The sequence below is a fragment of the Homo sapiens genome, chromosome 11, assembly GCF_000001405.40.
Source record: "Homo sapiens chromosome 11, GRCh38.p14 Primary Assembly".
In the NCBI taxonomy this organism is placed as follows: Eukaryota; Metazoa; Chordata; class Mammalia; order Primates; family Hominidae; genus Homo; species Homo sapiens.
Window position 1 is genome coordinate 95,606,917 of NC_000011.10, and position 13,596 is coordinate 95,620,512.

Here is a 13,596-nt window from a genome sequence, read left to right on the forward strand (position 1 = left end):
TGCTGGAGTTAAAATAAGGGGGATTGTAGAAGCCAAATTTCTCACTAGGCAGATACAGCCTCTAAGCAGGAGGCTTCAGAGATAATAGATGATAAATGATAAATGACTCTTTTTGGACTTTAACGGGTGTCAGACTCTTAGTGAAATCCTGCCTAGATCAGGAAAAGACCTAGAAAGCGAAGGAGATTCTCTGCAGAATGCAAATTTCCACTACAAGACATCGCTTTGCAGGGCCATTTCAAAACATGTCAAAGAAATATATTTTGGGGTAAAATATCTTGATTTTTTTTCTGGGTCTGCTATCTGTCATGTGATGCCATACCGGAGTCAGGTTGGAATTTGGTATCTTATTGCTACAAAGAGTCTGTTTTGTCAGTCTTATGATCTCTACTTTTATGTTAATGCTGTTTGCTGTGCCCAGACTCCAAAGAAAGGGGGCATAATGAGATGTGTCCAACCTCCCTTCCAGTCAGGCCAGAACTGATTTTTCAGGTTTCTTTGGGATCTCCTTAGCCAAAGTAGCATTCTAATTTTAATTAGAATTGAATTCTAAATTTAAAAAAATTGCTAATGTAAACCAAAAATAAAATTCTAAGTTCCTCAATTGACTGAACAAACCCCAAGGTTTAAAACAAATTTAAATGTTTTTTTTAATTTTAATAAGTGTGTACAGGAGAGACTAAATTATCTTTGTATAGAGATATATATCTTTGTATAGAAAGATATAGAAATAACATTAAAAGATGTGTCATAGGAAAAGGCAATGAATGTACATGAAGTCAAGAACCGTAAAAATAAATTATTATAAAGGACATGTCAGTTTATTAACAAAAACATTATGCTGCTTTTCAAGATTTTGTGATGTTAATGGTATTTGTCAGCTTTTTAAAGTTAATAATTTGTTGTGATCTATTTTCAACGTCAATAAATATTCGCACCCATTTCTAAATGTATTATTTATACTTTTATCTTTTTTCCTAAAATGCATACCTCAAATTCTATAAGCTTCAGGTTCCCCAAGACCTGGGTCCACCCCTGCCCCCTTCAGATGATGTCTCCTGCCATTCTGGTGCTGTGGGCTGCGTGGGTGCATGTACCAGTTCCTCCTGGCCCTTTTACCCCTCCACCCTGTCTAGTCTCGCTACAGTCTCCGAGGGGCTGCTACATATCCCCTTGGGAAGCCCTGGTCTCCTCTACTTTCCAATATTCATTCTAACCTGAGTTTTACTATTGTCACTCCCATCTTTCCTCATACCTAATGGTATCGCTTCCTTTCCTACACCTTCTCTCTCAGCCTAGGGAATCTTACTGCAAGTCAAAGGCAGGAAAACTGGCTCTCAGATTGCACAGCATTCTTCCCCAAACTATTGTTTGTGGCATACACATAAGCCCTTTCTTTCAACCTCCTCAACAAAACTCTATTTTGAATTCAAAAGCTAAGAATTGACTCCCTTGTTCTCTGGAGTTCTGCCACAGCCCTCTTTCCACAAATGCCTGAAATGGGGATTTCCCAATCAGGATGGTCAGGGAGGACAAAAGGAATCATCAGAAGAAAACCTCATCATTTAATATCAATAGATTTCCAAATACCTGAATGTTTGAAATTATGTGAATGAAACTTCTATGTGATTGATGAAACCGTTTATCTTTTAAATCAAGATGCTTAACCATCTACATAGATACATTTACAGAAATATAAAGAAGTTGGGCAAGTTACCAAAGAAAATTTCTAATAATTCTGATATTTCTGAATTAACCATGACATCCTAAGACTGATAAATGTAGCAGAATATTGTGTAATACCCTCCTTGCTTTTTCTTGAATATACTTATCTAAGCTCAAAAATTTTCAAATCTGTTCTTAGATGCTGGATTTATTTATTTTTATTTTTTGTGTGTGATTCTGGTTGTAAAAAGAATTCACATTCATGGTTGTAGTTTTAGAACAAAAGAGAACAAATAAGTACATGTGATAAGCACAAGCCTTGAGAGTCACTTGTGTGTGTAGGTCTGTATGAAATTGAAATTATGCCCTATTTATTGTATTGGCATATAAATGTTTTTTACTACATAATATTAATCAAGTAGAAGTATTATATAATAATTAACCAATTCTATCGTTTTAATATTGTTTAATTTATGACTGCTCACTTTTAAATAACACTATTATGAACTTTCTAATTTATAATTCTTTGTGTGCATTTATAATCATTTCTTTAGAATATATTCCTTGGTGATAAATTATAGTGTCAAAAGAAATAACATTTTAAGACTTTTATTATATATTTCCAAATTAGCCTCCAAATGTTATCAATTTTCAATGTGATGATGAATATGTAAGAGTATCTCTTCTCACACACTTTTAACATTAGTTATTAATACTGTCCAGATCTTTATCAGTTTGATAGATGGAAAAATAGAAAATAGTGTATCATATTTATCCTATTTGAATATCTTTGATTACTCATGCACCACATATGTAACAGTTTTCCCAAGGATAATTCTAAAAGGAAATCCACTCCATGAAGCATAAATGAATAATAGATTATGGTTCTATGTGTTACTGAGTCTTTCCATTGAGTTTTGTATTTATATGGCTAATTATTTTACATGTATTTAAGTTTTTATTTATGTAGCTAGTTATTTAAAATGTGTTTGTTTCGAGTTATTTTAAAAGATTTTTACCAGATGTTTGAGAAAGAAGATATGAACCATTATCGAACTTGGAGAGCAAAGATAGCTAATGCAACAGTGATAAAAGAAAAACTTCAGCCAAATTAAATTTAAAATAGTTTAATTGAGCAATGAACAATTCATGAATTCGGCAGCCCTCAGAATCACAGCAGATTCACAGAGATTCCAGGGGTGCCTTGTGGTCAGAACAAATTTATAGACAAAAAAGGTAAAATGACATACAGGAATCGGAAGTGAGGGACAGAAACAGTAAGATAGGTTACAACTCGGCATTTGCCCTATTTGAACACAGTTTGAACATTCAGCAGTCTATCAGTGGTTGAAGTATGGCCACTGGGATTGGCCAACACTCAGTCATTGTTACAGGTGCATACTATTAAGTTAGGTTTTCAATTTTATCTGACTATTAAGTTAGGTTACAGTTCATCCACAAAGACTCAAATATGGAAGTATGGGGTCCTTCTCAGACCATATTTAGTTTGCTTTAACAATTCCCTCCTTTTGTCATTTTCTCGGTTTTGAGAGATTGACCAAAATCTTGGCCATTGATGTTACTATCACTATCGTAAATGTACTTAAATGGTTTTGAAATCCACTGGGAAACAGTAGAACAGTGGGTTTTGAAAGAAGGGAATAAGGACTGAGTAGAGGGTACCTCCTTATGCTGGAACATCCTGTTTACAGGAGAAAAACAAAACCTGGTCTGTTCTAGAATCTATGTGTTTTCTTAAAGCCTTAGTTTGATTATGTCACATTTAGCATGAGTGACTCCATTTTAGTTTGGTTTGGTTTGTTGGGGTCTAGTGTATGAGCTCAGTCCAAAATAATGGTCTCCCATAATTTTGTTTACAAAAAAAAATCCCCGACCTGGCACGGTAGCTCAAGCCTGTAATCCCAACACTTTGGGAGGCCGAGGAGGGTGGATCACCTGAGGTCGGGAGTTCGAGACCAGCCTGACCAACATGGAGAAACCCTGTCTCTATCAAAAATACAAATTTAGCCAGTCATGGTGGTGGATGCCTGTAATCCCAGATACTCAGGAGGCTGAGGTAAGAGATTTGCTTGAGCCTGGAGGCAGAGGTTGTGGTGAGCGGAGGTTGTGCCATTGCACTCCCGCCTGGGCAACAAGAGTGAAACTCTGTCCAAAAAAAAAAAAAAACCCTTTTGGCCTTGGCCAAGTTCTCACGTAGGTGAGAGTGTGACCAAAACTTAGGGCCTTAGCGCCACTCTCAGTTACCATCATTTTGGGTTTCTGGTCTAAGCATGTGATTCATAGGTTATGGTGTCCTCATGGTCACACATTTCTTTCAGCTTTTGTCATTCCAGTTGAAAAGAAACCATTTGACATTCTAGAGATGGCTGCTTGCAAACATTTAAAACCTTTGAGAGAGTACAGTGCCCCAGAGAGACTATTATTATAACTATTGGGAGGATAATGCAAGAGTTCGGAGTATGCTCCTTACCAAGGGTCCCCATAAACCAAACCACATAAAATTAAATAGATTAAAGAATGAGCTAGATGAAGAGTCTACTCGCTTGACTAAGTGGTCTTTTCATTAATCCTCCGCAACTGAAATTGTATAATTTACATTTGATGTACTTCTCCATAGGCCACAACTGTCAGTAGCTGTGCAAGTACTTTTATGTTTAGCCAATTCTATTATTTAGCATATCTTTCACAAGAGAATTTAAAGTCTGTTGTCTGTGTATTGATGTATTGATGTGTAAATTCTACTAGAGCTTATTGTGAGGGTGACATTTCTAATTATTGCCTATTTTATTCTAAACCATGAAAAAAGGACCTAACAAATGATGTCCTTCTAGAAGAGTGAAGGTCTCCTGGCAAGGTTCTCTCTAATCCATGATGTGGGTTAAGAGGTGTTTTGACTGATTATGAGGCAACATATGTACCCCCAAAGTTTCTCACCTACATTGGGCCTTCATCTTTTATCTATTAAAGTATATGGTAATTCATGTGTAAGGCTGGCTGCAAAATCCCTCACAAATAAAAATACACCCTATAAATAAATGCACATAATAGACCCCCTTTTCATTTCTATTGTTCAGAGACATAAACAAGGAAAATATATTCAAAGATAAGTCTCTCAATAGTAGAAGTCTTGATTAGTGATCTTGGGAAAAGCAGTTTACATCAAGGATGCCATCTTCTTCTGGGGAGAAACTTTCCTGGTTAGTTTTACCTTAAGGGTTCCAATGTATGTACAGTTCTAGGAGTGTGGAGGGACCCTTCTCCATTGTGAGATTATGAACCCAAGGTTCAAGGCTCCAAAGTTTTGCTGTAGTGTGGATGGTAGAGATAGTCTTTTTCTGATGTTCTCAGAAGATCCTACCTTCAGGCTCTAGATCATGAAGGGATTGTCCTTAGTGAACCATGAAAAGATTTTTTTACTAGGTGAAAATACACTGTTGCACAATAATCTACTGTTGTAACATCAGCCCTCTTGCATGGGAAAGCTTTTATACAAACAGAAAACATGCATTGAAAATGACAATTGAATGAAATCCCTTTATAAATGTTAAATGGTCCATCAGGTAGCCAAATGTACCTGAAGCTTTGATTGTCTTCCCAGGACTATGGAACCAAACATTGGTTTTAAACTATTTCCACAATTTATGTCACCACATCAATATACTCAATTTGGGTTATTTTATCTTTTCCATGACAAGTCATGGAATGCAGAACCTTTAATAACAAAAGCTTTAAGGAATCAGGAAGGACAAGGTGGCTGTCCTGGTTCTTCATGAGTGCATGCTTAACACTAGGCTTATGTCCTCTTGAATACCAGTTGTTTCTTCAATTTAGGTGGGTTATCAGAGGTAATTTGACTTAGACCATGGAGTTCATTCAAACTGCATATTTAAACAATTTTAGTATTGACCAATTTAGCATGATAATCTAGAGTTTGATTTTGAAAGGTTTGTTAAATAACAAAATTTTAAACATTGGATATTACAAAATAGAATCTTAGGTTACTATAAGTCATTCATTTAGCCAAAACGATAGCTCAAAAATTTTTTAAAGGAAAAAACATTATTCTGATAGAGAGGAGACTCAGCTTTCCAAACAAGACCCAATGGAGATAGCATGAGGCCAACTGACTCTGTCTCCTTTCTTTCCCTTTCCCCCTTTTTCTTTTGTAGTTTACTTAAAAGGTAAATGAAAACGTTTCGTTATCTTTTAATACTACATAAAAATCCTTTTTAAAAGAGAAAACAAAATTTTATATTTCCATTGGTGTATTTGTAGTTGTAAAGCTAGTTTGTTTTTTAATAACATTTTATAAATCTATTCAGTTTAGTTAGTTTGACCATATGGTAAGATTTTTATAAACCTTTTATAACCCTTTACAATTTTTTTTTCAAAGCAGGACAATGTTGTAAGCAAACTCTGTTGTCCTTTTCTTCCAATGTCCAATTTATGGGAAAAAACTGAATAATGCCATTTAACTTTAGCCAATAGGTTCACACATAGAATTTTTATATAAACATTACACACAACACATATATAATTACACAGACAGACAGAAGAATATTACTACAGTAGTTGTAAGATTTTTCATTTGTCAATTTTTAAGTTTCTTAATTGATTATTGGCTTTAGGTTGGAGCCCTTGGAAAAAAAGGCCAGGAAAGGGGTTTCTGGTGCCTCCTGTTTTTCCCAAGGAGACCAGGCTGTTAGAGCTTGAATATCTGCTTTTAATTAAGCTGACTTTTAACCATAGCACTCTTTAATAACATCCTTTAAAAATTTTTTATTACCCAATTTTAGCCAGGCCAAACAGCCAATATTTCTGGCTGTTGAACTTTACCAAAGGTAACCTCCCAGGTGCTCAGAGAAAGGAAAACTTAAGATAGTACATGGAGGAGAAGAGACTAGACAAAGTCATGCAGATATTAAACCAAAAAGGACCTACTTCCTAAGCAGGGAATCAAACCCTGACCATCAGCGTGAAGAGTGAAAACCTTAACTACAGGACAGAGTAATATCTACTATATTTCCCAGAAGAAATCTGTAGTAGTTAATTTTGATCTTGAAAAGGGCTTTAACTACTCAAGATGATTTTTAGAGCTAACTATGACATAAAACCTAAAATTCCTGTTCTCTGGAAGGTAGAGACCAAAAGAAAGTACTGCCTCATGGTTACAAGGTCAAGCTCCTGAGGACATAAAATAAGATAGAGATAAACAGTGATTTTTACCATTCATTCAAACATTTGCACAGAGAGAGAGAAGCCAGAAACCTGACTAGTAAGAAATTCTTACCCTTTTGCTGGCACACCAGGCTTCTGGGTTCCCTTTTCCTGAGCGGCCCTAGTGACTCAGCTTGCTACACCATCTTACTGGGGCCAAGCCACATCATAAAGGAAAATTGTTCTGGCCAGAGTAAAATATGTGCGACAAAATATAGTCATTAGCTACTCTGATTAGCACCCAATGTCAAACTGGCAAGGCTCAAACTTGCCCCTGCTTGGGCCCCATCATTGTTAATCCAACCTCTGACCAGGAGTTTTAACCTGTGATCTCTGGGCAATATGGTCTCCCTGAGTAATAGAAAAGATAAGAAAGGGAAAGGAGAGTGAGAAAAGCATTGCCTGTGGCAGAGTGGGGAAGGCGAAATGATCAGGGAGGCCAGAGAAAGAGTCACCCATTGCAGTGACAGTGAAAAGTTCAGGTGGCTGCTTCTCAGTAGCAAAGGGATCTTTTCCAGCAGTCCCATCATCTCTCAAGTTTCCCCTTTTAGGGAGGGAAAAGTTCCCCATATTCCACAAACCTGTACATGTCTCATCCTGACACCCACAGCCATTGGCAAAGAATGCAAGGCAGATTCTCCCAAAGAGAATAGCAGTTGAGTTGACATGCTGTAGTGCCAAATCCATTCTTAGCCAAAACGGACTTTACTGAGAGCCCTCATTTTTTAAATGTACTTCAATGCATTGTTGTTCACTTCCACTGTAATTTATCTTTAGTAAGATTTTGCCATTTCTGTAAGATTTCGCTGCCTCCCAGGCCTAAAATATAAGCCAGAAGGAATTCAGTCTTCCAGAAATTAAGGAGCACAGTTTTACCTAAAATATTGGCTTCACACTCAGGTTCTCTTGATTAACTTAGCCAATGATTTTTTCCTACCTAAGCATGCAAGAAAAATGAAACAAAGGGGTATAACACAAAAATCCCTGTGAATTTTCAAAAGCCAAATTTTGTAACCCCTGCAATATTACTGCTTACTACCAAGTCCTTTTTGACCCAGTCAGATGTAAGAGGCCTCTGATTGGATCTAAGCCAGTTAATTCCCAGATCAAATCTGTTCCTGGACCCAATCCAGTTTCTGTAACTACTCCAAACCCAGTTTGGATTAGAAATTTGCTCAAAGAAACTTGGAGAGATGAAAACACAAATCCGTGGAGCTCAGAAATCCAAGAGGGAGCTTACCCAGGATCCCCAACTGCTCTGAGAGATCAATGGACACAAGTGGGTCATGCAGTGGTCCTGGGGGGCTGCTAGAAGTTCCACTTCGGATCCCGCTTCTGACACCAACTGACAAAAGAAAAACTTCAATTGAATTAAATTTAAAGGAGTTTAATTGAGCAATAAACGATTCGTGAATCGGGCAGCCCCCAGAATCACAACAGATCCACAGAGACTCCAGGGGTGCCTTGTGGTCAGAACAAATTTATAGACAAAAAAGGTAAAGTGACATACAGGAATCGGAAGTGAGGTATAGAAACGGTGAGATTGGTCACAGTTCAGCATTTGCCTTATTTGAATGCAGTTTGGACATCCAGCAGTCTGTGAGTGGTTGAAGTTTGGCTGCTGGGATTGGCCAACACTCAGCCATTGTTACAGGTGCATACTATTAAGTCAGGTTTTCAATTTTGTCTAACTATTAAACTAGGTTACAGTTCATCCACAAGGACTCAACTATGGAAGTAGGGAGTCCTCAGGACCCATACTTAGTTTGCTTTAACAACAGTTAAGACTACAGTTCTGGTACCCTACAATCTCCTCAGCCTGAATCCAAACTCTGCCACATAGCATTTGCAGGGCTTATGGCAATTTACTTAACCTGTCTATACTTCAGTTTATCTGCAAAAGAGAGCTGATAATAAAGACACTATCTCCTACAACTGTCATGAATATTAAATGGAATGATCATTCAAGGGAATAAGCAAACAAAAATTATTTAGTGCTATTGAACTGTGGTTTTAAAATTTGCCATGGTACTTCACTTCTCATCTATTTTGTTCTCCCATTTTAAGTATGGGAGAAAAAATTATATTATTATAAGTTTTATATTATTTTAAGTTTTATATTATATTATTATAATATATATTATACTTATATTATTATAAGTTTTAAGTGCTCAAGTTTGTTAACTTTACTAGGAATTCCAACAGTTATAACCCTTATGCCAAAAAGTTGTTTCATTGCTTATTAGTTTTTTGTGAGACATAGACTATTGAGTTGTACCACAGTTAAGTCACCTCCTACGTGAAATCATCTTTAACCACTCTTCCCTGATCCTAGCCCAACCCAGTTATAATTAATTATTTCCTCCTCTGGTTTCCCACGACACATCATTAATTCTCTCATAATAGCAGACATTGTAGCCGTATAGCCCAATTATAATTTTAAAAGTTTGTTTCCCACACACTCAGGTAGCTCTCCAAGATAGTGACTCTGTCTCACTCACTCTGTTTCCCTAGTGCCTCACAAACTTTCCAGCACATGGCATGTCAATGATGTCTAAACCATGACTGAGTGAATAATAGAGTTCCATTTGGGACACTGAGGATAAAATAACTTTGAACAGGGCCAAATGTAGGAAATGCAAAACAGATATTCATAAGCCATAGGCAGTGAACCACATGGACAAATATTTGAAACAATGACTTTTAGACATTGGACAATAGGCAGCAAAACAAATGAGGTAAGCCCTACAGATTCCCAGATGTTCACTTTGCAGACTGTGGTTCAAAGGGAAGAATCCAGAGCCTAGGAGACTCACTTAGTTGAAAAGAGGAATCAAAGAGCCCTGGAGATCTGCATAAAGGTATCCTTGAATCTTTAATTGAGTACTTAGCTGCAGACCTGAGAATGAAGCCACAAAGACTGGGGAATCACCAGAAAGCAAGAAGTCGAAAACTCCTCATAAAAAGCTGAGAATAGTTTGTGTTCTTACTAGCCAGAATGGAAAGATATTATAATACCTTGATCATTAAGTAGAATCCTCAGGACATCACCTTAGTATAAGAGCAAAATTATCCCCAGATTACAGGCTGCTCTAAAGTGGCAATTTTAAAAGCTTAAATCAAGTCTCAAAATAATAAAATTGATTTCAATACCTTAACTGGTTGTCAAAATAAAGTCTCAGCCTATTTAAAAATATGAGAAAAAAATCACACCGAACAATGTAAAATTTGTAATGTCTAGCATGCAATAAAAATATACTGGAAATGTAAAAAAGTAGAAATGTCTGACACATAACCAGGAGAAATATCATCCAATAAAAACAGACACAAAAAAGACAGAGGTGATAAAGTTAGCAGACAAGGACATAAAAACAGATATTATAAATAAACTCTACATGTTCAAGAAAATAGAGGAAAACTTGAAAGTAATGAAGAGATAAATGGAGGATAATAAAAAATGATCCAAGTAAAACTTCTAGAGAAGGCTACAATGAAAAATATATTGGGAGGCATTAACACAAAATTAGACACTAACAAAGAAATGATCGGCAAACTTGGCACATAGCAAAAAGCTATCCAAAATAAATATTAGCAACCTGTGAAACAATATCAAGCAGTTAACATACATATGATTAGAAAACAGATTTGAATTAATTGTACTCAAAGCTATTCCAAATTTGATAAAAATTATAAATGCATAGATCCAAGAACCCCAGAGTAAAAATAAACAAAACCATACCAAAGCACATCATAATCAACATACTGAAAACTAGTGATTTTTTAAAAGTCTTAAAAGCACTCAGAACTTCAGAACTTCCCTTCAAAAAACAGTTACATAGACAGGAACAAAGAGAAGAATGAATGCAAACTTTTCATTAGCTACTTATGCAAGTCAGTAGACAAATGAACAATACTTTTAAGGTATTGAAAGAAATAAACTATCAACTTAGAAATCTATTCCAAGAAAAAATATCTTTCAAAAATTAAGATAAAATAAAGAATTTATTAGATAACCAAAATCTAAGATAATTCACCACCAACAGACATGTACTGCAAAAAACATTAAAACAAGTTCTTCAAGCAAGAAGAAATGATACCAAATGCTAATTTTTATCTGCATAAAAGAACAAAAAGCACTGGAAATGATACATATGTGAGTAAACATATAAGATTTTTTCAATTTTTTAATTTCTAAAAAAGAAAATTGACTGTGTAAATATGAAGGATAATAATATATTGTTGAGTTTATAACACATGTAGAGTAAAATGTATGACAAAAACAGCATAAAAAATGAGAGAGAGAAAACAAAAGTACACTGTTGTAAGGTTCTCAGACCATTATAACATAATGGATATGTTATTTAAAGGTAGACTGTAGTAATGCAAATATACAATTTGTGAACCCTAGAGCAAGCACTAAACTAAAATAAGTAAACAAATAAATAAATGAAATAGAGATTTAACTAAGAAATCATAAGTGCATTTGAAAACGAACTATAAAAGTTACTAATTCCCAGGAACTGGAGATGGGCCCACTCACTCTGCTGCCAACACTGCCACATACACCCATTCACATGTGCCACCTACGAACCTGGAGACTGCCTTGCCCAGCCCATCACTGCCACTGCTAACATTAGCAAGTGCCACCTGGGAGCCTAAGGGTTATCCTACCACTGCTATTCCCATCACCCATGCGGGGTATGACGTCCAGGGACCTCAGGACCCACCCACACAACTGGCACACTGCTACAACTGCCAGTACACAAACAAGCTTTTTGGAGGCCCAAGAATTGGCCCACCTGGATCCAGTAACACCAGTGCCTGTATATGCCACTGAGTGGCCCTAGGTCAAGCACACTCCGCCTGCCACTGATACACTGGGGCTTGAGAACTGGCCCACTTGGCATACCTATCCCCATCAATGCCTCACGACAGCTTCTACTAACAACCTCAGCCAAGCCACTGAGGAAATCACAGATTCCTCTGATGCTATTCACAGCTGAAGAAATCATACAGAGACTACACTATTGCATGCACTCAGAATCAAAGCTAAAGTACCTTTGCCAACCAACAACTTTAACATATCTTCAGGAAAAATCCTTCTTCTATGAAAGTTAATCCAAAAACTGAAAAGAGCAATTGTTACATAAGGTGCACAAATATCAATATAAGGACAAGAGAAACATGAAAAAGCAAGAAAATATGACACCACCAAAAGATCACAATAATTCTCAGCAAGAGATTTCAATCCGGAAAAATTTACAAATTCCTAGAAAAATAATTCAAAATATTAATCTTGAAGAAGCTCTGAGAGGTCCAAGAAAATATTGAAAAACCAAATAGAAGAAAGAATCTCAGAAGTTGAAAACAGGTCTCTTAAAATGACCCAGCCAGAAAACAATTTTAAATAATGAATAAAAAAGGATGACCAAAGCCTGCATGACATATGAGACACCATAAAGTGACCAAGTATTCAAATTTTGGGGGTCCCAGAAGGCAAAGAGAAAACTAAAGGGTTAGAAAACCTATTTAACAAGATAATAGATTAAAACTTCCCAAGCCTAGCAAAAGATGTAGACATCCAGATTGAGGAAGCCCAGAGATCTTCAAAAATATACTGTTCAAAAAGGTCTTCTCAACAGCACATTGTAGTCAAAATGTCAAAAGTCAAAGACAAATAGAATTCTGAACTACAGCAAGAGAAAAGTATCTAGTCACCTGTAAATGAATCCCCATCAGGCTAACAGTAAATTTCTAGCAGAATCCTTACATGACAGGAGAGAATGGGATAATATAGTCAAAGTACTAAAAGGAAAAAAATTGTCAGTCAAGGATACTAATCTCAGCAAAATTATCCTTCATAAATAACGGAGAAAAAAAGACTTTCTCAGACAAGCAAATGTTAAGGGAATTCATCACCACTAGACCTACGAGAAATGCCTAAGAGAATCCTATGTCTGGAAGTGAAAGAAAAATATCCACCATCATAAAAACACACAACATAAAACCCATTAATAGAGCAAATATATAAACAAGGAAGAGAAAATGATAACACTACAGAAAACCACCAAACCACAGTGATAGACAAGAGGAGAGAAAGGAACAAAGTATATACAAAACAATCAGATATCAATCAACAAAATGACAGGAATAAGCCCTCACATATCAATAATAACCTTAAATAAAAATGGATTAAATTTTCCGCTCAAAAGACACAGGCTTGCAGAATGGATTAAAAAAATATGACCCACCGGGATACTCATCTCATCTGTAAGGCCACATATAGACTGAAAGTAAAGGGATGGAAAAAGATGTTCCACGCAAATAGAAACCAAAATCAAGCAGTGGTAGCTATACTTATATCAGATACAGCAGACTTTAAGCCAAAAACCATACAAAGAAACAAAGAAGGTCATAATATACTGATAAAGGGATCAATTCAGCAAGAGGATATAACAATGCTAAACATACATTCACCCAACACTGACCCTAAAGAAATGAAGATCTATGCACTTCCTGATAACAATAAAAATAATCCTCTTAAAGAAGCTTAGTGAGCTACAAAATAACACAGTCAACTAAACAAATCTTAAAAAACAATATATGAACAAATTAAAAATTTAATAAAGAGATAAAAACCCATAAAAAAAGAAATTCTGAAGCTAAAGAGCACAATAACTGAATTTTAAAATT

At 35.9% G+C, this 13,596-nt stretch overlaps 1 long non-coding RNA gene across 1 annotated transcript; it reads right to left on the reverse strand.

Annotated features, from left to right (window-relative positions):
* Positions 1–4,765: 4,765 nt before the first annotated feature.
* Positions 4,766–8,491, reverse strand: LOC105369441 (uncharacterized). The gene is made up of 2 exons (XR_947931.3): positions 8,144–8,491; positions 4,766–5,074 (listed from the first exon to the last, which is right to left on the reverse strand). It is a non-coding gene; the product is annotated as an uncharacterized LOC105369441 (long non-coding RNA).
* Between the last annotated feature and the right edge of the window lie 5,105 nt (positions 8,492–13,596).